At 38.0% G+C, this 27,618-nt stretch overlaps 1 protein-coding gene and 1 pseudogene across 5 annotated transcripts in view, besides 4 other annotated features; one reads left to right on the top strand and one right to left on the bottom strand.

The window, feature by feature from the left end:
- Positions 10,894 to 11,003: an enhancer, noted in NCBI's record as "active region_20768". NCBI's record gives its function as "activates an Ori minimal core promoter by ATAC-STARR-seq in GM12878 lymphoblastoid cells {active_cell/tissue: GM12878}" and the evidence as "EXISTENCE:reporter gene assay evidence [ECO:0000049][PMID:35858748]".
- Positions 11,063 to 11,564: an enhancer, noted in NCBI's record as "H3K27ac hESC enhancer chr3:160938841-160939342 (GRCh37/hg19 assembly coordinates)". NCBI's record gives its function as "activates a minimal SCP1, AML or CMV promoter by ChIP-STARR-seq in primed H9 embryonic stem cells {active_cell/tissue: H9 hESC(primed)}" and the evidence as "EXISTENCE:reporter gene assay evidence [ECO:0000049][PMID:30033119]".
- Positions 11,063 to 11,683: a biological region, named in NCBI's record as "H3K27ac hESC enhancer GRCh37_chr3:160938841-160939342".
- Positions 11,112 to 27,618, top strand: part of NMD3 (NMD3 ribosome export adaptor) — a 32,431-nt gene continuing 15,924 nt past the window's right edge. For 3 of the 5 annotated variants that reach the window (XR_007095682.1, NM_001320227.2, NM_015938.5), the window contains exons 1-7: positions 11,321 to 11,419; positions 12,004 to 12,067; positions 14,940 to 15,074; positions 17,257 to 17,353; positions 23,409 to 23,489; positions 24,737 to 24,865; positions 25,132 to 25,222. Coding sequence is in view for 4 of the 5 variants with exons in the window: in NM_001320227.2 (NP_001307156.1) it covers positions 12,024 to 12,067; positions 14,940 to 15,074; positions 17,257 to 17,353; positions 23,409 to 23,489; positions 24,737 to 24,865; positions 25,132 to 25,222 (577 nt within the window). In the remaining variant the exon portion in view is untranslated. Of the gene's footprint in view, positions 11,735 to 12,003; positions 12,068 to 14,939; positions 15,075 to 17,256; positions 17,354 to 23,408; positions 23,490 to 24,736; positions 24,866 to 25,131; positions 25,223 to 27,618 lie in introns of all 5 variants that reach the window. The other 2 variants (XM_005247511.3, XM_005247512.2) reach the window with 2 other exon arrangements.
- Positions 11,484 to 11,683: a silencer, noted in NCBI's record as "silent region_14865". NCBI's record gives its function as "represses an Ori minimal core promoter by ATAC-STARR-seq in GM12878 lymphoblastoid cells {active_cell/tissue: GM12878}" and the evidence as "EXISTENCE:reporter gene assay evidence [ECO:0000049][PMID:35858748]".
- SRP14P5 (SRP14 pseudogene 5) lies at positions 12,921 to 13,157 on the bottom strand (annotated as a pseudogene).

Below are 27,618 nucleotides of genomic sequence, written 5' to 3' on the forward strand. Positions count from 1 at the left end.
CGTTCATTTATTTTTCAAATGTTTATTACATTCTACTAGACCCTACAGATTGAAAGATGTACAAGGTATGTCCTTGTCCTCTGGGGCTTATGGTTAATAGGTATTATTACAATTTACCTGACTAAAGACCTATGTGGCCTCATGATACACAGGAGCCTATAAGATATGTTTATTAGATTATTTATTTACTTTTAGTTAACATTTTAAGCATGTACAAACAATCACCATAACCTATTGGATTTTTTTTTGTTAAAAAAATTAGTATTCACTTCTGTGTCTTGAGCCCACAGATATAAGCAGTATATAATCAGAAAGTTATAAATAAACTCAGATTATATAGGGAAAGGTGTGCTCCTAAAAACGACACATACATTAATTAAAAGGATGCATCTAAAATTATGACCAAACTATCTTTAGAAGGCAGAAATGTAAAATTATACCTTTAAAAATGAAGACATCATTTATATACTTCAAAAATAAAATGTGATATAGCAGAGATGAATGATCGCTATAGGATTGTATTGGTTTAAGAGAACACGATTTCTAAAAAAAAAATTATCGTTGAAAATATATTACCTGTAAGAATGTGAAAGAAATCTAGTAAGAATTTAGGGGAAAAATTATGAAGTCAAAAGCCAATTACCTTAATATTTTTCTTATTCCTAAACAATAAGAACAACATTAAAGGAAAACTATCTTGCATTTTAATTGTCTATCTGGCATTAAGGAAGTTCTGCAAAAATGTAATACAACTGAAAGGCTTCAATTCCAAATTAAAAATCTTCTAGGCTCAGATTAAAATGTGGACTGTTCCATATGAAAAATAATAAAGATGTAATTGGCTTACTGGATAGAATAAAAACTTTCTTTGAAGTTTGGAATGACTAAATTCAATTTCTCTGAATATTTCTTTGTATTGTTTTCTCCCAGCGATGCAAATTATATTAAATATAATAGCTTACAAAGTTATTGTCTATAAAACACTTGTATCTTTTGTAATTCAGATACAAAGAAAACCACCTTGTGTTAATGATATATGCATTTTCACTAACATTTAACATGACAGATATCTCATCACTTTTCCACTAAAATCAGTATAATATTTTTGTTCTATCAGTACTGAATTTAAAAAATCTTGGCTGGGCGCGGTGGCTCATGCCTGTAATCCCAGCACTTTGGGAGGCCTAGGAGGGCAGATCACGAGGTCAGGAGGTCGAGACCAGCCTGGCTAATATGGTGAAACCCCGGCTCTACGAAAAATACAAAAATTAGCCGGTCGTGGTGGTGTGTGCCTGTAGTCCCAGCTACTCAGGAGGCTGAGCAGAAGAATCGCTTGAACCCGGGAGGCAGAAGTTGCAATGAGCTGAGATCAGGCCACTGCACTCCAGCCTGAGTGACAGAGCAAGACTCTGTCCCCCCCAAAAAAAAAAAAAAATATATATATATATATATATAAAATAAAAATAATGACATTAGAAACAAAGAACCATGATTTTATTTAGTGATTCAATATATTTTAAACCTCTTACAAAAGAGAAGGCCTATGAACAGAATGTAGAATTTCTTGAAGTTTAAATGTTGAAGAACTCCAAAAAGTAAATCCAAGCAACTAATTTAGCAGCCTGGGAGGAGGTTAAAGACGCTTAACTATGTTAAGACCTGAGTCAGAATCTGGGCTTCCCTTTTTTCTAGGTACTTTACCTTTACTAAGTAACAACTTCTCTGAGCTTTTTCCTTTTTTGAGATGGAGTCTCACTGTGTCACCCAGACTGGAGTGCAGTGGAGTGATCTTGGCTCGCTGCAACCTCTACCTCCCAGGCTCAAGTGATCCTCCCACCTCAGCCTCCCCACCAAGTAGCTGGGACCGCAGGCATGCCCACCACACCTGGCTAATTTTTTGTATTTTTGGTAGAGACAGAGTTTCACCATGTTGCCAAGGCTGGTCTCGAACTCCTGAGCTCAAGCCATCCGCCCACCTCAGCCTCCCAAAATGCTGGGATTACAGGCATAAGCCACTGTGCCCAGCCTTCTCTGAGCTTTAGTTATTTCACCTGTCAAGTGGGGACTAATACCCACTTCCAGAATTGTTGTGAAAATTCAGTCATGTGTGTAAGGTGTCTGGCATGCAGTAAGTAACTGAACAAAACTTATTTCTTATCTCTTTTTTCACTTTTTGAGCTCTAGTTGGGAAGATAAGCTATAAACCTATGAAAAGGTAATGAAAAATCCAAGAGTTAAGTCACAATTCACAGGCACTGAGGTGGCTGGAGAAGATGATCTCTAAAGCCCGTTGCAGCTCTAAACATTGATTATTCTATGACAGCTGTATGAGAAGCGTCAGGGGGCAGTGGATGATGAATTGGCAATTGGAAGGTGTGGACAGTAAGTGCTCTTAGGTCAAAGAGGGGAGCCACTGCCTTGGGCTGGAATGGTTTAGGAAAACCATTAAAAAAAATTCTGAGCTGGCTGAACTACAACAAAAACTCAATTCAATTAGGAGAGTGACTGGCAAGAGTCTGATTAGAATACAAATTCAGACCAAGCTAAGGAGAATAAGAAACAAAATACTGGTGAGAAAGGAAAAGGCAGAATCAGCAATTTGGTTTCTGAAACAGACAAAGACTATTAAGTAGCTATCATGCTTCTCACCCTTATAACAGTCTTAAAAGGCGGGCAAAGTATATTAGCCCTGCTGGAATCTCCTTTGAGTGTCAGCATCTGTTAGCAACAAATAATAGAAAACCTGGCCATCAGTGGCTTAAACAAAGTCTTTTTTTTTTCCCTTAACTAGAAAAAACCTAAAGGTAAACAGTCCAGAGTTGGTGCCTCTGCATAATGACACTGTCAAGGCTCTTTCTTGCTCTTTCTAGCTAGGCTCTTTCTGGGTCTCTGTCTCACCATTGTTAGAATGATGGCATTTGCACTTATATTTTTGTTGCCTTATGCTCATTTGATGGCTGGTATACCTCTGGGTTTGTACCCCATACTGAAAAGAGACAGAAGGGCAAAGGAGCAGAGAATGTGGGCAGGTGGCATACCCATGAGTCTGAGCCTTTTTATTAAGAGAGTTAAAGCTTTCCTGGAAAGTTGCCTGGGAATTGCAAGACTTTCTCTTGAAATTTTCCTCTGGCCAAAATTGTGTCTCATGGCTGCCCACAGTGGGAGAAAGGGGATGTGGATAGGATTAATCAGCCAACCCACACTGGAGACAAAATTGCTGAGGCCTTGTAAAATAATTAGTACAAAAGATAAAACCAGGGAATTGTCTTCCTTAATCAGGAATTTTCAACTCATTTAAAAAATTAAACTTTTTAAAAATTTTGAAATAATTTTAGATTCAAATGCAATTGTAGAAAATAATATGGAGAGATCATTTTCCTCTAATAATAACATCTTATAAACTATAGTACAATGTAACTACTGGGATATTGACATGGACAGAGCTAAAATACAGAACATTTCCATCACCATAAAGATTCCTCATATTACCCATTCATAGATATAGCTCTCATACCCCCGTCCCTTCGTAATTTCTGGCAACCACTAATCCATCCCCCTTTTCTATGAATTTGTCTATTCAATAACTTTATATAGGCCAGGCACAGTGGCTCACCCCTGTAATCCCAGCACTTTGGGAGGCTGACGAGGGTGGATCTCTTGAGTCCAAGAGCTTGAGACCAGCCTGGACAACATGGCGAAACCCATATCTACAAAAAAAATACAAAAATTAGCTGGGCATGGTATTGCATGCCCGTAGTTCCAGCTACTTGGGAGGACTAGGTGGGAGAGTCACTTGAGCCCAGGAGGTGAGGTTGTAGTGAGCAGAGATTGCATTCCTGCACTCCAGTATGGGCGACAGAGTGAGGACTTGCCTAAACAAACAAACAAACAAACAAAAGAATTCGTGGTAGGGATGTACTGCAGTTTGTTTAACCATTCACCCACTGAAGGATATCTGAGTTGTTTCCAAGTTGTTTCCAGCTTTTGACTATAATGGATAAAGCTGCCACCCTCTTCATGTACAGTTTTTTATGTGCAAGTTTTCATTTCACTGGGATAAATACCTAGGGGTATAATTGCTAGGTCATATGGTAGTTGCATGTTTAATTTTATAAGAAACTGCCAAATTTTTTCTAGAGTTGCTCTACCATTTTACATTTTTGCCAGCAGTGAATGAGTGATCCAGTTCTCTGTATTCTTGCCATTTGGTGTTATCAGTATTTTTTATTTTAGCCATTCCAATAGAGGCAGTGATATTTTATTGTGTTTTTAATCTGTATACCTCTCATGACTAATATTGTTGAACATCTTCATGTATGCTTGACTTCTATATACATTCTTCAGTGGAATGTTGTCATATCTTTTGCCAATTTTCTAATTGGGCTGCTTGATTTTCTGTTAAATTTTGAGAGTTCTTTATATCTATTTTATTAATAGATACTAGTTCTTTGTTGAATACAGTTTGCACATATTTCTGCTACTCTTTGGCTTGTCTTTTTATCTTCTTAACAGGGCCTTTAACAGAGCAAAAGTTTTTAATTTTAATGAACTCCAACTTGTCAGTTTTTCTTTTGTGGATCTTGTTTCCGAAGTCAGGGCTTAGCACTCTTTGCCTAGTTCTAGATTGTAAAAATGTTCTTTTTTTTTTCTAAAAGTTTTCTAGTTTTACATTTTGCTTTAAATTCATGATCCATTTTGAGTTAATTTTTATCTAAGATGTGAGACTTAGGTTGAAGTTTATTATTTTCCCTCTGTATGTCCACTGGCTATAGTTGAAAAGGCTATCTTTACTGACTTGGCTTGGCAGTTTTGTCAAAATCCATTGAACACTGGTTTGGAGGGTCTTTTTCTGGGTTCCCTATTCTCTTCCACTGATGTGTGTCTATCCTTTCACCAATTCCAAACAATCTTGATTACTGTAGTCCCATAATAAGTCTTAAAACTAAGTTGAATAATTTTTCCCACTTTTTTTTAAAATTGTTTTAGGTGTTCTAGTTCCATTACTTTCCCATATAAATTTTAGAATAATCTTCTGTACATTTACAAAAAACTCTTGCTAGAATTTTGATAGGAATTGCATTAAAATGACATCAAATTTAGGAGAATTGACATCTGTGATGGTTGATATTAGGTATGAACTTGATTGGATGGAAGGATGTGTAGATGGCTGGTGAAGTATTGCTTCTGGGTGTGTCTGTGAGGGTGTTGTCAGAAGAGACTGACATTTGAGTCAGTGGCCTGGGAGAGGGGAAGAACAACCTTCAGAGTGGGTAGGAACCATGCAATCTGCTGCCAGTGGCTGGAACATAGACAGAAGAAGAGGGATGAGTAGCTCGCTTGCTGAGTCTGCTTGGGCTCTCTCTCTCCCGCTGTGTGGTGCTGGACACTTGACTTCCTCTCCTCCTGCCCTTGGACATCAGACTCAACCTTCGGACTCTGAGACTTGCATAACAAGTGTCATTATAATCCTCCAGCATGAATGTCAACACAGACCTTAACTCTGATAAGAAACATGTACAATCTATTCTCTCTAAAGCCTGCTACTTGGACGCCTCATCTCCCTGGTAAAACCTAGGTCTCCACAACACCTTATTGTAATCCAGATATTCCTTTCTATTGATAAAAACTTTTTCAACCAATTGCCAATCAGAATATGTTTAAATCTACCTATGACCTGGAACCCCCCGCCACTGCCACCACCCTGCTCCCCACGACCTCTCTTCAAGTTGTCCTGCCTTACCAAATGGAACCAATGTAAATCTCACATGTGTTGATTGATGTATTATGTTTTTCTAAAATGTATAAAAGCAAGCTGTTCACCTTGTGAACATGTCGTCAGGACTTCCTGAGGCTGTGTCATAGGTGCGTCCTTAACCTTGGCAAAATAAACTTTCTAAATTGAGACTTGTCTCAGATACTTTTTGGTTTAAAACTTACTGATTGAGAATCCAAAATCTGAAAACCCCAAATCTGAAATGCTTCAATGAGCATTTCCTTTGAGTGTCATGTTAGTGTTCAAAAAATTTCAGATTTTGAAGCATATTGGATTTTGGATTTTTGGATTATGGATTAGGGATACTCAACCTATACATAGTGTTATTCTCCCCCATCACTAACATGTAAAAGTTAGAGGTTGTTCAGTGATTACATCTTTTAAAAATTATAATAAAATATTATAAATTCAGTCTCATATTTTGGAATTTGTAATAATGGAGAAATTGTACAAGTATTATTATCGTAATTTTATTTCATCTTTTCTATTGTATTTGCTGGGATTCTATGTTAACATATTATTTGTACTTTTAAAACTTTTTGTTGAAGGAAATACACAGGCAGAAATAGGCACAGATTATAATGTATAGCTGAATGAATCTGTTACAGTGGTAATTAGGCAAGAGCTGGACAGGAGAGGGCTTCCCCTACCCACCAGGAATGTCAGGCAACCATCAGGTGATGGTCTGGCAGTTGTCACATCACCTTTCTAAAAATAATAATTGGTTGCAGGCACCAGGGAGAGGCAATTTCCCAATGGATAAAAACACTTGAAATTGGTAATCAACAACTTCCAATAAAATCTCAGGAATTGGGCGAGTGGGCTTGAGTATGTACATTGAAAGGTAAAATGGCAGACTTTAACTGGTTATATGACCTTCCGGGAGCATTCCACCGGAAAAGGGAAAAAAGCCTCAGGTGGCCATGCATACAACTTCTTAAACACACTGCACCTGCTCATCTCTCAAGCGCAAGGACAGCATCATGCATGTGGGCTGCCCACTCTAAGGGAAGAATCATGAAAAAAGGAATGCGGAGACACCCGAAATATGCCAACATATAAAACCCCAAGTCAAAAGGTCAAACACCACATTTGACCTCCACAGTTCTTGCCTGGGTCTCTTCCAAGTGTACTTTCCTTTCTTTCCTGCTCTAAAGCTTTAAAATAAACTTCTACTCCTGCTCTGAAACTTGCTTCAGTCTCTTTTTCTGCCTTATGCCCCTCAGTCAAATTCTTTCTGCCGAGAAGGCAAGAATTGAGGTTGCTGCAGACCTGTATCTATTTGCCACCAGTAACTCAGATATTCACTACCCCTAACAAATTTTACAAAGTGAACACTAAATTTTTATTTCATTTACTAAATGATGTCTTTATATTGTAAATTAAGGGTGAAGCAGAATCGCAGGTGTAATGTTTCAAATTTGATACATTGGCTGTTTCAGATACAAACCATTTCTTATTGCTTCACTCAATTCCTATTAAGGATCTTCACCAGAGAATAACAGGGCCTACAATCATTATAGTATTTTGCAGTTTACTAAACACTTCTATGTACCTTATCTCAGTCAATTCTCATAACAATTTTCTGAGGTAGGGATTATTACATAGTTTTAGAAAGGAGGAAAGGAGCTTTTAGAAAGGCTCAGAGTGGTAAAGCAAATCCTTAGGGTCACAGAATCTATCAGTCACAAATCTCAGACTTGAAACAAGGACTTTAGAGTCCATGTCTTCCACCGACTCTCCTAGGCATACTGCTTTCTACATGGCGCATGCTGTGGCTGTGAGGTACTGCCCAGATCCCCCTCAAGGAATGAAGTACTTATCCCACAACAGCAGGGAGTGCTGCTGGCAGAAAGCCCTCAGTTTCATCTACTTCTGGGACTGCCTTGGCTGAAGAGAGAAATATCACCCAATGCTATGTCCTTTTCCTGGGACAGTCACATCCAATGACTCATCGATGAGCAAAGTCCCCCTCGGGAAAACTCAGAATGGTCATTTCAGCTTCAGAGCTTCCCACAGGGTTAGCTGAGGCTTCCACTAGACTGCACGGCAGCACAGCTCCCTTCTGCCCAATGGTGCTTCTGCCCTTCTATTCCACAGGTGTTGATTCTAAGAGGATACCCTAATACACCTCCCCTGCACTAATCTCCAATATTATCTTGATATCCCCAAATGTGCTATCACATTTGATAGTGTGAAAAATATCACAGTATGCATTTGAAAGTTCTGTGTAGAATTTCATTATTTCATTGATTAGCAGATTTTTTTTTTTTTTTTTGAGACAGGGTCTCCCTTTTTCACCCAGGCTGGAGTGCAGTAGTGCAATCTTGGCTCACTGTAGCCTTGACCTCCTAAGCTCAAGTGATCCTTCTGCCTCAGTGTCCTGAGTAGCTACGACTACAGGTGCATACCACCATGCCTGGCTAATTTGATTGTTTTATATTTATTTTTTATTTTTTAGAGGTGGGGGTCTCAACATGTTGTCCAGGATAACCTGGCCTCAGTCGATCCTCCCACCTTGGCCATCCAAAGTGTTGGGATTACAGGCATGAGCCATTATGTTCGGCCAGGAATTCCATTTTAATACCATGGTTAAACACATAGAAATGAAGTTTGTAAACATATACTAAGGCTTAGATTTGAATACAGATAGATATCCTCAGTGCAAGGACTATGGGAGCTGAAAATAATCTCACCTATTATTTTCAGGTGAGATTTGAGGTTAAATAAAAAGTGCAAAGTGAGTTTCCCTCTGGTATTGTTTGCCAATATTATCCCACTCAGTCCAATCCTAGCAAGCTCATTCAGGCTCATGAGAGAGGTAGTTGAAATCAAGAACTTACTTTTGACATCTGGAAATCTTAGTGGTGGGGGCTGGCAGATGAAGAGAGAAATATAGGTGCCTTCTACTACAGAAGTATTTCATTTATCAAAAGGTTGTGGATAGGAATAGACGGCCTCAGCCTCAGAAGGGGAGGTAGGCTGCTATGGTGAGGGTCTGGGTTCAGAAACAAACTGTATTTCACGTCCCAGTTCTATCAATTATTTGCTATAGGACTTTCAACAAATTGCCTAATCTAATCCAGCCTCATCTGTAATATGTAAGGTCCATGAGGGCAGGGACCATATCTGTGCTGTTATTATCATACATCAAGTGCTTAAGAAGCCTGGTATTCAGAGCCAAATCAAATAATTGTAGAAGGAATGTGTTAAAAAATGAGCAGCCTTTGACATTTAGAAGCTGGTCTGGTACTTGCAGCTATGCCATAATATTTTCCTATTAGACAGAAATAATTTCACAGAATACTAAACTCAGACAAGATTACTCTGAAACCATGATAAAATGAGGCAAAGAAGGTCACTTCATAATTTTGTCTAAGCACAGACCAAAATAAGTTCACTATGCCACCCACAAAATACCAAACATTCCCTTTCTTCACCAAAATGAGTGACTGCTACTTCTTTGCTAATTGCAGCTTTATCCTCCTGCTTCCCTTTGTGTAAATAAGATTTACTGAGACATCCAATCACAGAATTGCCCCTGCTTTCTGACAGCATCCAATCTATAGAAAAACCTCTATTTTCTTAGGGCCTCCCCGAAAACACCCGCCCAAAGCCCCAATCCTATGATAGGTTTGTTCTAAACACCCTCTTACTGAGATACCCAAAGGGTATCCATGGTGAGTGTCTGGGCTCACTTCGAAGAGTAATAAATAGACAGAAGCTGCTTAACTACAGCTGTGTTCCTAGTGGTGTTTGGTTGAGGGCATAGGCAGTGTGAATAGAAAAAACGGGGAGAAAAACACTGTCTCTTCAGAGTTGTGGTGGGTATTAAATGGATAATTAATTTACCAATATATATTGAGGGTCTGTTTTGTGTCAGCTGCTGTGCTAGGTGCACCAAGAAGAACAAGACCCGAATTGCTCTCCAGGGTTTTGAAACTGCTGGGCATGCAGAGTAGAAAATTTATGATCCAATTCAAAGCACTATTATAGAGGCATATACCTCGTATAAAGGTGTTATCATAGAACCATATATACAGAAGGAGCATGTAACTCCTCTGGCCCTTAGGGACCGAAGGAGTCAGAAAAGAGAGGATGTATGGTGGACAGGATAATGGCTCTGCAAAGATGTCCTATTCCCTGAAATCTGTGAATATATTACCTAACATGGCAAACGAACTTTACAGATGTGATTAAATTTCTTGAGATGGAGAGATTATTCTGGATTATTTGGTTGGGCCCAGTGAAATCACAAGTGTCCTTGTAAGAGGGGTGCGGGGGGGTGGGGGTGAGAAAAGGAGACTCTGACTGCAAAATGATGTGGGACCACAAGCCAAGGAATGTGGGCAGCGTGTAGAAGTTGGAAAGGGCCAGGGAATGGATTTTCTCCTGGAGCCTCCAGAGTCAGCCCTCACCATCTATTTAGACCTGTAGCTTCCAGAACTGGAAGAGAACAAATTTGTGTTTTCTAAGCCAACTAAATCAGTGATAATTTGTTAGAGCAGCACTAGGAAACTAATTCAGGCTTAATCTTTAGTGCCGAGTCCCGGGTAGAAGCAAAGGAAGACTATTTTCTGTGAGGACCTGCCAGTTGGTCTTCATGGCTTGCGAGTACGTGTGCTTGGGAGTAGGACAGGATATGTGGAGATCAGATCCTGAAAGGTCTTCTTTCCACACAAAGAAACTGGAAATAATGCTGAAGGTAATCAGAGGCCACTGAAGGATTAAAAGCAGGGGAGTGTGACAAAATCAGAACTGCATTTCAGAAGGATGAATTGAAGTCTACAAGTAGAGACAACAGACGAGAGGCTACTTAAGTATTCTGGGCAAGAAATGATGAGAGGCTGTCTCTGATCACCCTCTACAAAACGCCTTTGCTTATTCCTTGAAATTTGGGATGAGAGGATTTAGAAAAAAAAATGGTTGTACTCTTCAAATATTTGAAAGGCTGTCATGAGACAGATTAGACACGGTCTGTGCTGCTCCAAGTTTGAGGGATAAATCAGTCATAAGAAGATATTAAATGCACTATCCGGAAGCACATAATTAATAATTTGTCTAAAAATCGCATAGACTTCTTCACAGATAATTATGCTTTACATTTCATTCTTTCAACAAATAATCATTTGAGCAGTTAGCATGTGGCAGGCATCAGGCCTGTATATGACGGTGAACCAAACAGACAAAAGGCACTGCCCTGGATGGAGTTTCTTTGCATAAGGTACCGTTTACAGATAACTTTTATATAAAATAATCATTTAATCAAGAAGCAAGCTCACAGTCGGGATAGCTGAAAAGAGACTAATATACGGGCGAGGTTGGTTTGGAGTAAACCCTGGCCTGGGAAAATCGAGACGATAACTGAAAAGCAGTCACTGACGGCAAATGAGCCCCTGGGACTTCTCTCCGCGAGCTTTCCCAGCCACCAGGCCGCTCCCATCACCCTTCCGCCCGTCGGTGCCGCCCCTTTCCTCGTCCCCACCCCGTCCCTTTTAATACGTCACTCGGGCCGCGGGATTTCGAGCATTTCGCTCGCGAGATCTTCTCTGTGGCGGAGACAGCCAGGTTGGCAGCTGACGGGACAGCCGGGGTCTATTTTGTTGCGGGTTTTCAGCAAATCCAGGGCTGGTCTGGAGGCGCGAAGTAGGTTCCGGAGTCCGAGACCTGGGCTGTCGGCCGCGGGCCCCTGAGTAGCGGATGGGGCGGGCTCCCCGGCCTCGGGGCCGTGCTCAGTCTGCGTGAGCGCCGCGTGCCCGGAACCCGTGTGCGGTCGCGCCCCGGGGTTGGGGGTCGGCGTGGGTGGCCCTCGGGCGCCGGGACGCCGTCCGGAGACTCCTGTGGCGTGGGTCTGAGGCGCGGTGGTCCGGTGCGGTCCCTGGGCTGGTGGAGAGCGGGAGGGCCCGGGCGTCCACAATCCCGAGCTGACCTCGCCCTTGGTCGTCCAGGGTTGGAGCCCAGGTGAGATGGAGGTCAGCGGCAGAGCTGGGTGGCCCGAGGGTCTTGCAGCTGGGAAGCTCAGGAAATCCCATGGTCCTCATCTTAAAGTTCTTTTTAACGAACTTACCCAGTGGAGTTGGGTTTCCTTCTTTCCTGCTTTTTCGAAGTTCTGTGAATATATTAATTATTCAGAGAGACTGGAGGAAGACGTAAAAAGAGGAGACTAGGTAAAGTGATTTAAATCCCAACATTCTCTTTTTTTTTTTTTTTTTTTTTTTTTTTTTTAAAAGAACTTAAGGCATACAGAACGATGGAGTATATGGCAGAATCCACCGACCGCAGCCCTGGACACATGTGAGTGCGACACTTCTTCCTTCCCCCTTAAATGTGAAAATCTTCAGTGAGCCCGGGAAACTCACTATGGAGAACGCTTGAGGGTGGGTGGGAAAGAGCGTATATTGTCATAAATGGGAAAAAATAGAAGTCTTATTTCTGTAGAAAATCGAATTAGTTTCTGGTTATAAAGCTTGTTCTAGTAAATATAAGCTCTAAGAGGGTTAAAATATTTACCATACATCCTTTTAGATCGGCACTGTCCAATATGTAGCCATTAGCTACGTGTGGCTATTTAAATTTACTTTTTACTTACTTTTTTTTTTTGAGACGGAATCTCGCTCTGTTGCCCAGGCTGGAGTGCAGTAGTGTGATCTCGGCTCACTGCAACCTCCACCTCCCGGGTTCAAGCAATTCCCTGCCTCAGCCTCCCGAGTAGCTCGGATGACTTCCTGATTTTTATTGGAGATTATAATGTAGTAATTTTTAAATTTTGAACATCTTAAATCTTAGTTATCAATTTTTAATTTCTTGCATTTAAGTTCAAATTAACTTTTTTTTTTTTGCTGTTAAATAGGTTTAATGATACAGTGCTCTTCAAAGAGATTACTACAGAGACTTTTAAACGATAATCCTGGAATCGTTCAGCACAGACCAATTAGCTAAATCTAAAATAAATTGGCTTCTTACCACAACTACCCTGTAAACATTGTAGTCCTTCTGTCTAGAATGACCCTAATCTCACAGGAAAACAGTAACTATGGAGAAACTAGCTTTGTGGCCAAAAGTAAAAACCAAAGGAAAAATAGGAATTCAGTGGTTAGTGAAAGCAGGAAATTTGGCCCCCTTCCCTGTGATGCTTTACTCTTCCCTTGTCCATCAGTTAGCTCAGTGGGTTTGAATAAGCCATCTGAAAATGTCTTTGGAGCTCAGCATAGTGCTGATCTTCCTTGTTCTATCAGTAGCTTTTAACAGACACTTGTCTAAGGGCTCAAAGCCCTTCACAGAACCCTTTCTTGGAATGGGTTGTTTGACCATTATACTTCCCTCCGGACAACCAGCACTTCTGGAAGAGCCTGGTTAGCTCTGTCAGGAACTGCTTTCTTTCCAGGTGGTACCGCTGGCTCCACTCTGTCAACATAAACCCCAAGCAGTTTAAGTTGGAAGTTTCCTAAATTAATTTAAATGGAATAAAATTAAATACTTGGTTGCTCGTTTGTACTAGCCATGTTGCCACATGTGGCTAGTGGCTACCATTGGACATGGAAGATTATTGAACTTTTATTTTGGACAATGTTGTTCTACATTAGGGGTTCTCAGACTTTTTCTGCCCCCAGTACATCTCGAATTATGATAGTTCCGTCATTTATACTGAGTCTCTAGATGTTGATAGACTTCCTATACTGTTAAAAAAAAAATTCTGCTATGGGTAAATGTTTATATTTCAGCAGTCCTTATGCTTTTTTTTTTTAATTGCCTTTGGAGTATATTGGCGTCTGATTCTGTTAGAAATGATTTAGATATTAGTTTCTATTGGTGTAGTCCAGAGATATACTTGAAGAAATGTTCATTAGAGATAAGTAGACAGCTGTAGTCTTTTAATGTAGTGACACCATACTGTTCACCTAAGCTATGGTCCTCTGTATGCCCTGAATAAATAGATTTTTGAAGACTTAGTATTTAGAGATGAGGTGGTTGAATTAAAAAGAGACAAACTGATCTTACATATTCTTGATACAGGATTTTCTTTTTGGTTTTTGCCATTGACACACTATTGCCTTGTTAATTGATTCTTTCTTGGTTTTCCAATTTTCAACAAGGGATAATGAATAACAGTGCTTCTCAAATTTTTCCCAAGTTTGCTATTACACTTGTGGTTGGGAAGTTTATCTGTTTATTTGTAAAAGTTAATGTGAATGTTTGTGTCTGCATAGAAAATGTTTGGAAGGATATATACAAATTATTAATAAATGTTATCTTTATGGATAGTGTTGGTTGGGTGTGGTAAAGAGCACGTTAACATTTTTAATTATATTTCAGTATCTAAAATTAAAATTAGTGCAAGATTTGTATTCTTCATCAATATACCTCCATTTGTTTTAATGTGACAATATAGTTTCATTTGCTTTTAATAAAAAAGACTTGTTTAGACCCATACTGGCTATTTAAATGTAAATTTGAATTAAAAAAATAAATTGAGTTTCTCAGTTGTACTAGTCACTTTTCATGTCCCAGTTGCCACATGTGGCTAGTGGCTACCTTGTTGTACAGACCAGAATAGAACATTTCTGTCGTGGCATGAAATTCTGTTGGACAGTACTGACCTTCTAGAACCTTTAGGACATCGGCCTTATATTGAGGATTTTTAGAATTATAGCCATTTTTGGTGTTTTTGCCCCTGTATTACAGGGTTATTCTTTATCTACTGCATCTTTGAAGATTGCTTTGTTTCTTTTTTTTGTTTCTTTTTTTTGAGACATTGTCTTGGTCTGTCACCCAGGCTGGAGTGCAGTGGCGTGATCTGGCTCACTGCAACTTCCACCTCCTGGGTTTGATATGCATGCCTCAGCCTCCCAAGTAGCTGGGATTACAGGCGTGCGCCACCATGCCTGGCTAATTTTTGTATTTTTAGTAGAGATGGGGTTTCACCATGTTGGCGAGGCTGGTCTTGAACTCCTTATCTCAGGTGATCTACCCGCCTCAGCCTCCCAAAGTGCTGGAATTACAGGTGTGAGCCACTGGCTGGCCCAGGTTGCTTTGTTTCTGTTATTTTTTTGAAAAGGGCAAAGATGCTGTGGCCTAACTTGAAGGCTTTTGTTTGTTTGGCATCTAAAAAAAAATTTAGTGTATTTTAAAAATCTAATGTGAAAAATTTATCCTTTATTTATTAAAGCTTGTGCTGTGAGTGTGGTGTTCCGATAAGTCCAAATCCTGCCAATATTTGTGTGGCCTGTTTGCGAAGTAAAGTGGACATCAGCCAAGGTATTCCGAAACAAGTCTCGATTTCGTTCTGCAAACAATGTCAAAGGTACAGTGCGGTACAATTTTGCTCTTTTTAAAGTTGGAATTTACATTTAGAGAACCACCGAGATATGCTGAGATTACACGAAGGTATATGGAGTAAAGTGCATGCAATTAAGGTTTAAATTTTCTGTTGGTGTCGCCAAAGATTTTAGAATTTGCAATTTTATAGTGTACTTTTCTAGTGTGTCCTTCTAATCTGGTAAAGATAGTGTAAATGTATTTGAATCTGTTCTTCTGTTAAAGGATCTAATAGATTTGATGTATATAGTTAATAGGAGTTGATGTTTGTAAGGGTGAGAGCAGATTATTGAGGACATATTGTTATTATGAGGTTTTTTTTTCTTTAGTTATTAGAAGCCATGTATGATAAAAAGCTTATGTTTGGAGTAATTTAGTAATATGTTTTAAAAACTCATAACATTCACGTGTAATTAAAATAACTATTGTTGATGGAAAAGAAGCTCAATAAATTATATCTGGAATGGTCTGAAATAAAGATTGGATTTGAAGGAAGAAGACTTCTTCTGAATGTTAATGTTTCATTCCTCTTGATTTTCTTTGTCAGCATAAACAACTTACATCTATTAGGCCATTGAGTAACACAAAACTGCCTAATGAGTGTAAAAGTGTATGCCTGTTATTTCCAAAATGGATTAAGACGCTAACTTTTTGAGTGTGTATCTCTAGAGGGGTGGTTCATGGACTCCTTTGAGAATTTGAAAACTGTATCTCTTCCCCAAAATATTTACATACATGTATATATATGTGTGTGTGTGTGTATATATGTAAAAATATATATGTGTGTGTGTGTATATATACATATATATACACAAACACATGAAACTGTGTACTGTTTCAGGGAGTTTACAGTGTATAAGCTTAGCAAGTGTGAGGCTTAATCTTTTATAAATATTTGCTATTAAAAGCCTGGTGGAGTTAGAAAAGTACTGATAAAGAACTAAACAGACTTAGTTTGTCTTGGCTTCCTCACAAACTAGCTGTTTGAAACTCTTAGCTGTTTATCATCTCTGGGCCTCAATTTCCTCATCAGAATGAAGGGTTTTATTAGGTGATATGTGAAGCCCTTTCTAACTCTAAACGTTTACTCATAGGCCAGGCTTGGTGGCTCACGCCTGTAATCCAAGCACTTGAGGAGGCTGAGGCGGGTGGATCACCTGAGGTCAGGAGTTCGAGACCAGACTGGCCAACATGGTGAAACCCTGTCTCTACTAAAAATACAAAAATTAGCCAGGCGTGGTGGGGCACGCATGTAATCCTAGCTACTCGAGAGGCAGGAGAATCGCTTGAACCCGAGAGGCAGAGGTTGCAGTGAGCCGAGATCATACACTGCACTCCATCCTGGGGGATGGAGCGAGACTCTGTCTCAAAAGAAAAAAGGAAAAAAAAATACGAAATAAATATGTACTTATAAACAAAGGGAGACCTGTGTAATGTTTTTGATTGAACCTTGAAAAGTGAAAGTCAAAACTTTCTGTTATGTAACAAGTATGGCAAAAAGACATTCACATAACATGTTTGGAAGTATTTTATATTTAGCAAGCATTTATTGAACACCTACTATAAGATGTATGTGGCATAGTGCTAAGTCCTGGGTAGGCAGGACTAAAAACCTTAAAGCACATATGTAAGAGATTTAAGTTTTGTTTTAGTCTGGTTTTACCCAAGATTTTAAATGTTGTTTTACAATTTACAATTTGAAAAGGACTTGAAATGTAGATGAATAGACTGAACTATTGCTGATTTATAGTGTTGTGAGGTACTAATGTACCTTTTTTTTGTGAAAAATAAGCAGTTCTCAGGCATTTTAGAAGTACATAATAAACCATTTTAATGCCATTTTGAGATGATTCTCACCTGTTTTTCAGAGCATAGCTTTAAGAGACTCTTGGACATTTTAGTGGTGATTTGGTGATTAAAGTAATAAGATCACTTTAGTAGGTTATTTCAGATTGACTTTCTCAGTCAGAATTTTACCTTTTTAATTAAAGCTGCTAGTCTAGTTGAAAGTTTTGGAACCATTAAAATATGTTTGAGTTAAGTGCTTCATATCATCCTTGGGTTTTATTATGCCTGGTTAATAATTTGGGTTATATCTGTGTATTCAGATGGAAATTTCTGTGTTTCCTGACAGATGTTGGATTTCAGTATGTTATCTTCTCTTTTAGGTATTTTCAACCACCAGGAACTTGGATACAGTGTGCTTTAGAATCCAGGGAACTTCTTGCTTTGTGCTTGAAAAAAATCAAAGCCCCTCTGAGTAAGGTAAGTTAAACAGCTAAAATCAGTATTCATAGGTATGTTTTCATTAAAGGTCTCATTTTCAGAAAATTCTTGTGAGTAGGTTTTTCAAAAGGAATTTTTTTTTTTTTTTTTTTTTTTGAGGTGGGGTCTTGAACTGTCACCTGGGCTAGGCTAGAGTACAATGGTGTGATCTCGGCTCACTGCAACCTCTGCCTCCCGGGTTCACACGATTCTCCTGCCTCAGCCTCCCAAGTAGCTGGGATTATAGGCGCACACCACCACATCTGGCTAATTTTTTGTATTTTTAGTAGAGACAGGGTTTCACTATGTTGGCCAGATTGGTCTCGAACTCCTGACCTCGTGATCTGCCTGCCTCGGCCTCCCAAAGTGCTGGGATTACAGGCGTGAGCCACCATGCTGGCCTCGAAAGTAACTATTAAATGTTACTATTGTTGCCAGTAGCACCCCACTACAAACACTTTTTAAAGTTATATATATTCTTTTTATGAAAAGTAAAAATATCTTTTTGCTTTAAAAAGACAGAATTTAATTTTTTTCCTTTGTTATTTATCGAGAATCTCATGTATAATTTTTTAACGGAAATTTTTATGTAAAACCATCACTAAACATAATTGGGATTATAATATTAGGGCTATGTTATTTGGTTTCTTTTTATTGTCATTATTGATCTGGAAATAAAATATTTGTGCCTGTCACTGAAAGTCAGTGCATAAATGTATTAAAAAAAATAGTTTGTTTAAAGTACAGTTTATTTCCTGATATAAAATTGAAAGTGATTGACACTATGAGTTTTCTTTATTTTAAGCTTTATGACTCACTTCTACCATGTTTTTAATTGAAATTGACTCTTTCAGATTGAAGACTTTTCTGATTCTCCTTTAAGCTCTAATAAAATTTCATGTAATAGTTCTTTGAAATTTCTGCCTTTATTTTCCTACTAGGTCCCAGCCAACCCCACAAATTTCTGATGGTCACTTTTTGGCGCTTCTGGCATAAAACTTTGTCTTTTTCCCTTCATATTTTAAAAAACCTTTTTGGTTTTTTTCGCTCCCCTCTGTTCTTGGTGATTTTTACTTTATCTTCTAATCTTTCTAATGAATTGTTTTTTTCCAGTAGTAATGTTTTTAAGTTCCAGAGTCTTTCATGTTCTTGATGCATTTTTTTTAAGTTTTTCTGAAGATTTTGATAATAGGACTTTTTTTGTTTCTTTCTGTTCCCTCATTTGTCTCTGTTTTTTTATGAAGTCAGTTTTTTGTGTGTCTTGGTTTTTTGCTTTTATACTTGGGGTTTTTGTCAAATGTCTAGTGAGTCTTAACAGTTCATTAATTAATTCATCAGATGTTTATTAAGTACCAACTCTGTGCCAAACTGCTTTTGGTGTTGGGGATATGGCAGTGAATAAGGCAATCCCTGTCTTAGAAAGCGTGTATTCTAATTGCACACTAACATGCCAGTGTGGAGCAGCATGTTAGTATGCAGCGATCAAAATAGGTGGATATATTACATGGTATATTAAAAGGTATATTCTGTGGAGAAAGGAGCTAGGAAGAGGATAAGAACTGTGCATGGAAGAGTTGAAATTTAAAGTAAGGGTGTTTAGGGGAGGGCTCACTGATAGGGTGACATTTGAGTAAACACTAAAGATTACAGTAAGGGAGGAAGCTGTGCAGAAATGTGGAGGAAGAGCATTAGGGGTAAAGAAAACAAATGTAGAGACCAAAAGCAAGAGCATACTTGTGTGAATAGAACGGAGTGGTGAGGGGAAAAGTAGTTGGGGATAGAGTCCAGAAAAGTCATGGAAGGCCACAGTGTGTCTGGCCTTGTAGGCCCTTATAGGGGCTGTTTCTTACTCTGAGTGTAAGGAGTATAGAGGGTGAAGGGCAGAGTAGTGAGATGACATGACTTATTAGTATTCCTCTGGCTGCTGTTTTTAGAATGGTTGTAAGGGAGGTAAAGGTGTTTAAGTTTTTGTAATAATCATGAGAAATGGTTTTGGATCAGCAATGGAGGTGGTAAGAAGTGGACAGATTTTGGATCTATTTTTAAGGTAGTAACATTTACTGATGTAGCTGGATGTGTTTTTGTAAGAGACAGAAGAGTTAAGGATGCCTTCCACTGTTCGTGACCTGAGCAGCCAAGTCACTGGGTAGGGGGCATGAGAGTTCATCTGTAACTGGTATTTAGATGTCTACTAGACACTTAAGTAGAAATACTGAGTAGGCAGGTTGATAAATAAGCCAATGAGTGGTCCAGTCTAGAGATAATGAATTTAGGATATAGATAGTATTTAAGGTCATGAATTGGATTAGATTATTTCAGGAGTTTACATAGAGAAGGAAAGAAACTGGAGGACTGAATCCTGGAATCATTCCTTTAATGGGTAATGATGAAGAAATAATTGGGTAATGAGGAGGAATCAGCAAAGGAGACTGAAAGGAGCTGCTAGGAGGTAGGAGGAAAACAGGGTGAGTGTGATGTCCTGGGAGGAAAGGGAAGTGTTTTAAGAAGAAAGGAGTGAGTAGCTATGTGATTTGCAGCTGATGAGTCAAGTAATGAGTTCTGTAGATTTAGTAATGTGGACGACCTTAATAACATGGGCAATTTCTGTTTAGTGGTGGTGGTAAAGATGTCATTTAAATAGAAATTAAAATGGGAGAAGGAAGATAGACAGTTCTTTTGAGATTTGCTGTAAACGAAAACAAAGAAATGGGGCAGTGGTTGAAGGGGAAGTTGGGGAAGGGACACTTGTCTTTTTATGTTATTTTATTTTTTGGAGATAAGGTCTTGCTTTATTGCTCAGGCTAGAGTGCAGTGGCGCTGTCATGTCTCACTGCAGCCTCAAACTCCTGGGCTCAGGTGATCCTTCTGCCTCAGCCTCCTAAGTAGTTGGTACTACAAACATGCACCACCACACCTGGCTGATTTTTATTTTTACTAGAGGTGAGATCTCTCTCTTTCTCTCTCTTTTTGGCCCTGTAGAGCAGAGATCTCACAATATACCCAGACTGGTGTTGAACTCCTGAGCTCAAGCGATCCTCCTGCCTCAGCTTCCCAAAGTGTTGGGATTACAAGCATGAGCCACTGTGCTTGGCCAGGATACATTTCTTAAGATGGTATATATAACTGTATTTGTAAGCTCTCTGGGAGTGTTAGAGTACGGAGGGAAATTTTTGTGAAATTGCAGGGAGAAGAATAATTGGCTGGGGGGTGGCCTCAATAAGTGGAAAAGAGATATAGTACATAGTGAAAGAATACATTTATTTGTTAATTCACTCCTTCATTCAACAAGTATTCAGCACTTACTCTTCACCAAGCACCATTTTGGGAGGCTGTAATATTTCATGGAACAAAGTAAAGATCTCTGCTCTCTAGAGGGGCATTCTGGAGGTTGATCTTGATGGGAGTATGGATAATTCATCTGTGGTAACAGCAGGGAAGGTGTTGAGTGGGAGCTTCTGGGAATTCTCCTCTGGTTCCTTCTTTTGTACTGGAGAAAACAGAAGCGTGGGCAGTAGCTATGTGGGAAGAGCTGTTAGATAGATGTTTGAGGAGAGAGCGGAAGATATGAAATAGTCCTCTAGAACTAGAGGAAATGCACCAGGACAGTGTTGGATGGGTGCTGGGCAGTGCTGAGGGTTACTGTTACAAGTTTAGACTAGTCACTGTGGTGTGCATCTATTTCTGTAGTTCTGTCAGCCACATAGTCAAGGCATAGAGCAGGCAGAGCACTGGATTTAACCAAATTTATAATTTAGCCTAGTGGCTAAGGTGAAATAAGAGAGGGAACAAGGAAATTGAGTGTGTACATGAGAATAATTTTGATTATTGATTTTGAAGCTAGTGAGGAGGAATGAGGAATAAAGTTGGTAGGATGAATGGATTGTCCATTATATTAGCTTGAAAGATATTTGGTGCCCAGGAACTAGAGGAAATAAGCTGGAAAGATGGGAGGTGGTAGTCAGGGAGTAGGATGTTTGGAATTGATAGTTTGGAGGGTTTGCAGTTACTGGTAATAGAGGCATATGAGTGACTGAGATAGGAAGGTGGATAATATTTTGGGAGAAGAAGAACTCAAAGAATGGAGTGAGAGGTCAGGGTATTGTGGGGATCACCTGTGTGGATATTGAAATCGCTAGGTATTAATATTGTTGGAAAGTGTGATGGTGAGCCAGAAGCTAAAATCTTTTGAGAAATGAAAACAAGTGATACAAAGATGAATAGATTACTATAAAAAAGAGAGTTGCGGGTGGTAGAGTCTAATGACTTTAGACTTAGAGCTGGGTATATTTGAGGAGGAGACAAGGAGAATGGTCTGTAATTAGCAATGAAGAGCAAGGACGATAGCTGTCTGGTGCCTGGTCCAGTGATAGGAAGAATCAGTTATCACTTTATATAGCTGCAGGGGAGAGAGAAATCAGGAGATCTAGAAGGTGAAGGGAATGTTCAGCAAAGTTGAGGATTTAGGAGATTTCATTGTTAATGAATGTTGAGCTCCGGAGGGCACAGTAGAAGGGTTTTAGGATTCGGGGAGGAGTGTTAGATGGGGACAGAATAGGGAATATGCATAACCATATGGAAATTGGAGTATGGGAAATAGGGGTGACTGAGGTGTCTGGGACTATGGTAAAGAAAGAAAGGGACTAATAAAGTTGATTAGTCATGGTTGTCTGAGGACACATAGTGCAGTGGTTGTGTTGGGGAATGCCGAGCAGGATGTCAAGGAGACTCTCCATTCCTGCAGGTGGAGGTTGGAGCTTGAGGGGAAGATCAGTCTTATTCAGTGCCTTTGGGGCTTTTTTTTTTTTTTTTTTTTTAACCACTGCTGATGGAGATTGAAGGAATAGGAATCTGCCTATCACCCTGTGTACCTGGCATCACTTGTTAACTACTAGGCTTTGTTTTAGGGAGGCCAGCTATATGAGGAGGGTTTTACTCTGGTGTGTTGAATCTTTGCATCTACACTAAAAGTGGCCAGTCTACTTTTTACCAGACAGTGCTTGATAAAAGTATAATCTGCTGCTGATACCTCTCAAATCTGTTAACTGCAGCCCAAATTTTTTTATAGATCTCCAGACCAATTGTATCTTACTGTTCACTGAAAAGTCCTCTTGGGTATCTCACAGATACTGTCTTAAACTGAAATGTCTGAAATCAAATGTAACATCTTTTTCTCATTATATCCATTGTTTATTTCGGTATAGGTAGTCACAAAAAGTGTACTGCCTAGTTGTCTAAGCAAATACTTGAGCATCATTCTGGAGTCTGTTCTCTTCCTCTTTTCCATATCCAGTTACCATTAAATCTTACAGATTTTTTTTCTGCATCACTTGGACTGTGCAGATAAATCTTACAGATTTTTATCTCCTAACTAGCCCTTGCATCTGCTTTTGTTATTTCCAGTGCCTCTCAGTTCAGATCATCTACAATCTGGCCCAGGTTATTACAGCAGCCTCCATTCTTGTTCTCCCACCCACCCCTTCTCCCCAAACACCCATTCTGGCCATTCTTGAGTTATATTCAGATCTTCACATATAGCAAACTGTTTTGGCCTATGCAGATGCTGCAGATTTAGTAGTGAGTTATAGTTGTGGATTTAGTATTCAGTGCATGCAACTTCTCTAATCAATGTCACTTCTTAAAAAAAGTCACAGAATATAGAGAGAATAATCCAAGTGGAAACTTTTGTTCATGAGGTTACTAATAAATAATGAGGTCACAAGGTCTTTGCTTTCCTCCAAAAAATATAATTTCCTTTTAAAGGACAATGTACTTTTTTTTTTTTTTTAAGGGAAAAGAATTTTTTTCCTATGCAAATACTTTAATTTTTGCTTAAATTATATCAGTTGCATTAATATAGTCATTGGGTTGTCCTTTGATTTGCTGCTGTTGTTACGTAACCAATGATTAATCTTTTTTTGTGATGATGGTGTGTAGTATGCTGATCACAGATTCCTTAAGCATCTTATGAAATCTGCTTATTGATGATTTGTTCTTTCGTGTTTTTTTTCCTCCTAGGTGAGAACTTACGTTTCTTTTTGTTTGTGTTTTATTGAAGGTACGGCTTGTAGATGCAGGCTTTGTTTGGACTGAGCCTCATTCTAAGAGACTTAAAGTTAAACTGACTATTCAGAAAGAGGTAAGCAGTACATAATTTTCTCAGCATGGTTAAAGTGCAGGTAGTGAAAATGAAGACCCAGTGATAAGTTATTTTATGGCTTGAACAGCTTAAAAGAAAAAGAGTACACTCAATTTTAGCTGTTTGTTTTCTTTTGAGCATCTGTACAAATAATTAGATCACTAGTAAGAGTAGTCATTGCTTCTGATTAGCAGACTTACTTTTCCAGAGTTATTTTTATTAGGAAAGGATTGAAGTAAAAACATGGTCTAAGGTACTGATCCTCAAACTTGGCTGATCATTGTAATGACTCATCATAACTGAAGCAAAAATTCTCTGTATGTGAGGCCGGGAATCTATAAGTAGGTTGAGTATCCCTTATCTGAAATGCTTGGGACAAGAAGTGTTTCAGATTTTGGATTTTTTGGATTTTGGAATTTTGCATTATACTTAACTGGTTGAACATCCCTAATTCAAATACAAAATGTTCCAGTGAACATTTTCTTTGAGTGTCATTTAGAAACTCAAGAAGTTTCAGATTTTGAAGCTGAAATTTCAGATTCTGGGTTTTTGGATTTGGAATGTTCAATCTGTATTTAAAAAGCTTCCCATGTGATTTCTGATCAGTTATGTTTGGGAATCATTAAATTAAGGAATTTTTTTTTTGAGAAGTTTTCCTTATTTTTTTCTTCTAAGGATGATTTTTCTATGTAAACATGTATAGGCTGGGCATGGTGGCTCACACCTGTGATCCCAGCACTTTGGGAGGCCAAGGTAGGCAGATCACTTGAGCCCTGGAGTTCGAGACCCCATCTCTACTAAAAATACAAAAGTTAGCTGGACGTGGTGGTGTGTGCTACTTGGGAGGCTGAGGTGGAGAATCACTTGAGCCCAGGAGGCAGAAGTTGCAGTGAACCAAGATCGTGCCACTGTACTCCAGGCTGGGCAACAGGCAGAGTGAGACCCTGTCTCAAAAAAAATTATATATATATATATATATGTAAAATATACACAGAATATTCTCACAACCACTTCAGCTAAAGGAAAATTTGAAATGCTAATCTAATAAATCTTAGGAATTAAATCTGTATACCGTTCTTGAAATAGTATAACTTGTTTTTATGACTTTAAATTTGAGGACATTTGATTGATGTCCTCAAAGCATTAATGGAAAAAGTTTTAAATTAAATATTAAAGGTTCTTCTTTAAAGAAAATATTTGTTATTAAACAAAACCAAAAGAATGAAGGAGTGTAATTGTTTTATCAGGTGATGAATGGTGCTATCCTTCAACAAGTGTTTGTGGTGGATTATGTTGTTCAGTCCCAAATGTGTGGAGATTGCCATAGAGTAGAAGCTAAGGATTTCTGGAAGGCTGTGATTCAAGTGAGGCAAAAGGTAATGAGAGAAGATGATGAGTGAGTCCTACATCTTATATTTCGTCTTTGTTAATTATAACTTTTCCTTCTTTCTAAATCCAGGGATAGTCTGGGTCCCTGAAGCATTCACCTTTGGAAATAGATCATTATTACATTTTAGATAATCTTTAAAGATTGTTATTGTTTGAAAAATCAGTATGCTCTATCTGTAGATAGTATGTGTGTCCTATACCTATAAATGGCTTTTTTGTGGGGCATTTATTGATCAAATAATTTATATTTTAGACTTTGCATAAAAAAACTTTCTACTATCTGGAACAGTTAATTCTGAAATATGGAATGCATCAGAATACACTTCGTATCAAAGAGATTCATGGTGAGTTAAAACTCAAAAGCATTTGAAATTATGTCAGATTTTTATTTCAACATACCTAAGTAATCTTATATTTACTGATAATATCTGGATTAGTACTGTCCAAAAGAACTTTCTGTTAGGAAAAAAAAAAAAAACAACTTAATTCTTTATCTGCACTGTCCAGTATGGTATAGTCACTAGCCACATTTGGCTGTTGAGTACTTGAAATGTGGCTAGAGCAACTGAGAAACTGAATTTTTAATTTTCTGCTAATGTCAAACATAATTATCTTTTTATGTTTCATACCTAAGTATGATATTTCTTGAGGTTTCTGTTTGATACATATGCATACATACTTCTGTCCAATCTTGCTCTCAGTTAAGTGAGTGACATTGAAAAGAGTTAGAAAGAAAGCTTGCCTTCTTTCTACCTAGCATTTAATTAACCTCTAGAAGTTTTTTAAGAACTTGCCCATTAAGCCATCCAATTTGATATCTCCTAAGGGACGTCTTTTCAGTTTCTTTTATGATATTCACCTCTCAGGTATTCTACCCCTTGAGTCAATTTTAATACCATTTTCCAAGAAAAACCATTTCATCTAGCTTTTTAGATTCTTGGTATAAAATTGAACAAATAAAATAAATCTCATCCGTAACTGTAGTTATGTCCTCTCTATTGTTCCTAATGTTTATCTTTTCTCTTTCTACTCACCTCACCTTAGACTAGCTACTTTTATCTATTATGTTAGTTTTTTCAAAAAACTATTTTTAGTTTTAAACAATCTTTTTATTAATTTTGTTTTTAACACTAATTCCCTCAACTCTATTTAGTTCTGTTTTGTTTTAATTAATTGAAAGCTTAGTTTATTTTTAATTTCTAATACATATATTTAAGATCATAAATTTTCTTCTGAGTACTATAATGGGTCTGTAGCTGGTACTTATAGCTACCTTTTTCCACTGCCCATTGCATATTTTATTTGCCCTCAGCAAGCACCTCAGCTGTTTCATTCTTTTGGGTACATACTTAGGTGTGGAATTACCAAGTCATATGGTAAATTTATGTTTATATATAAAAAACTACCAAACTGCTTCAAAGTGGCTGTACCATTTTACATTCCTGCCGCCAATATTTCTCTGTATCCTCCTCAACACTTGTTCTTATATTTTTGTTTATAGCCATTCTAGAGGGTGGTATGAAGTGGTATCTCATTGTGGTTTTAATTTCCATTTTGCTAATGACTAACGATGTTGAGCATATTCTGGATACAAGTCTCTTACTGCATATATGGTTTGCACATATTTTCTCCTAGTGTGTAGGAGAAAATTCACACTCTATATTCTTAATGGTGTCCTTTGAATTGCAAAAGTTTTAAATTTTGTTGAAGTCCAGTTTATCAAGTTTTTTCTTTTAATTGTGGTTTTGGGGTTATGCTTAAAAACTGTTTGTCTAATCAAGGTCACAAAGATTTTCTCCTATAGTTTCTTTCAAGTGTTTTATAGTTTTAGGTCTTATATATTTAGGTCTAACTCTTGAGTTAATTTTTGTGCAGAGTGTGAGATAAGTGTCTAAATTCATATTTTTCTATGTGGATATTCTTCATCCCAGTGAAAACTCTGTCCTTTCCTCAGTGAATGCCTTGGGTCTTCTGTCAAAGATCTATTGACTGTAAATGTAATGGTTTATTTCTAGAATCTGAAGTCTGCTCCCATTGATCTATATATCTATCCTTATATTAGTACCATGCTATCTTGCATACTTACTAAAGTTAGTGAGTTTTGACATTAAATGTGTAATGTTCATTTTCTTCAAAATTGTTTTGGCTATTCTGGGTAATTTTAGTATTGGCTGTTTTGGTAATTATATTTAGTTATTTGCAAGAATATCTTTAATATTTCTCAGCTAGGTAGGTTTGCTTTTGGCTATTCCTTTCTTGATTTCTAGTGCTACTGTTTTATGATGAGATAATGTTGTCTTTAGTAATTTCTACTGTTTAGGATTTATTGAAATTCTTTTTCTTTTTAAAATCTTAATACATGATTTTTAAATGAATGTTTTATGAATGTTTGATAAAATATGTATTCTTTCTTAGAACTGTGTTCTATAATCTCAGTTAACTCGACCTTGATAGTTGGTTATTCAAGTTCTGTGAATTGTTACTATTTTTTGTCAATATGATTATTTTGGTTTTGAGAGAGTCCTATTCTAGTCCTTCACAATGATTGTATGTGTTAATATTTGTTAATTTTTTCTTTTCTTTTTCTAGTACTTTTTGTTTTCTATCTCTCAGATAGTTTCCTGTTATCTTCTTGGTAGATTATTCCATTTATTACATAAAATAACTTTCTTTTTTTTTTTTTTTTTTTGACATGAAGTCTTGCTCTGTCACCCAGGCTGGAGTGCAGTGTTGCGATCTG

The sequence above is a fragment of the Homo sapiens genome, chromosome 3, assembly GCF_000001405.40.
Source record: "Homo sapiens chromosome 3, GRCh38.p14 Primary Assembly".
NCBI lineage: Eukaryota > Metazoa > Chordata > Mammalia > Primates > Hominidae > Homo > Homo sapiens.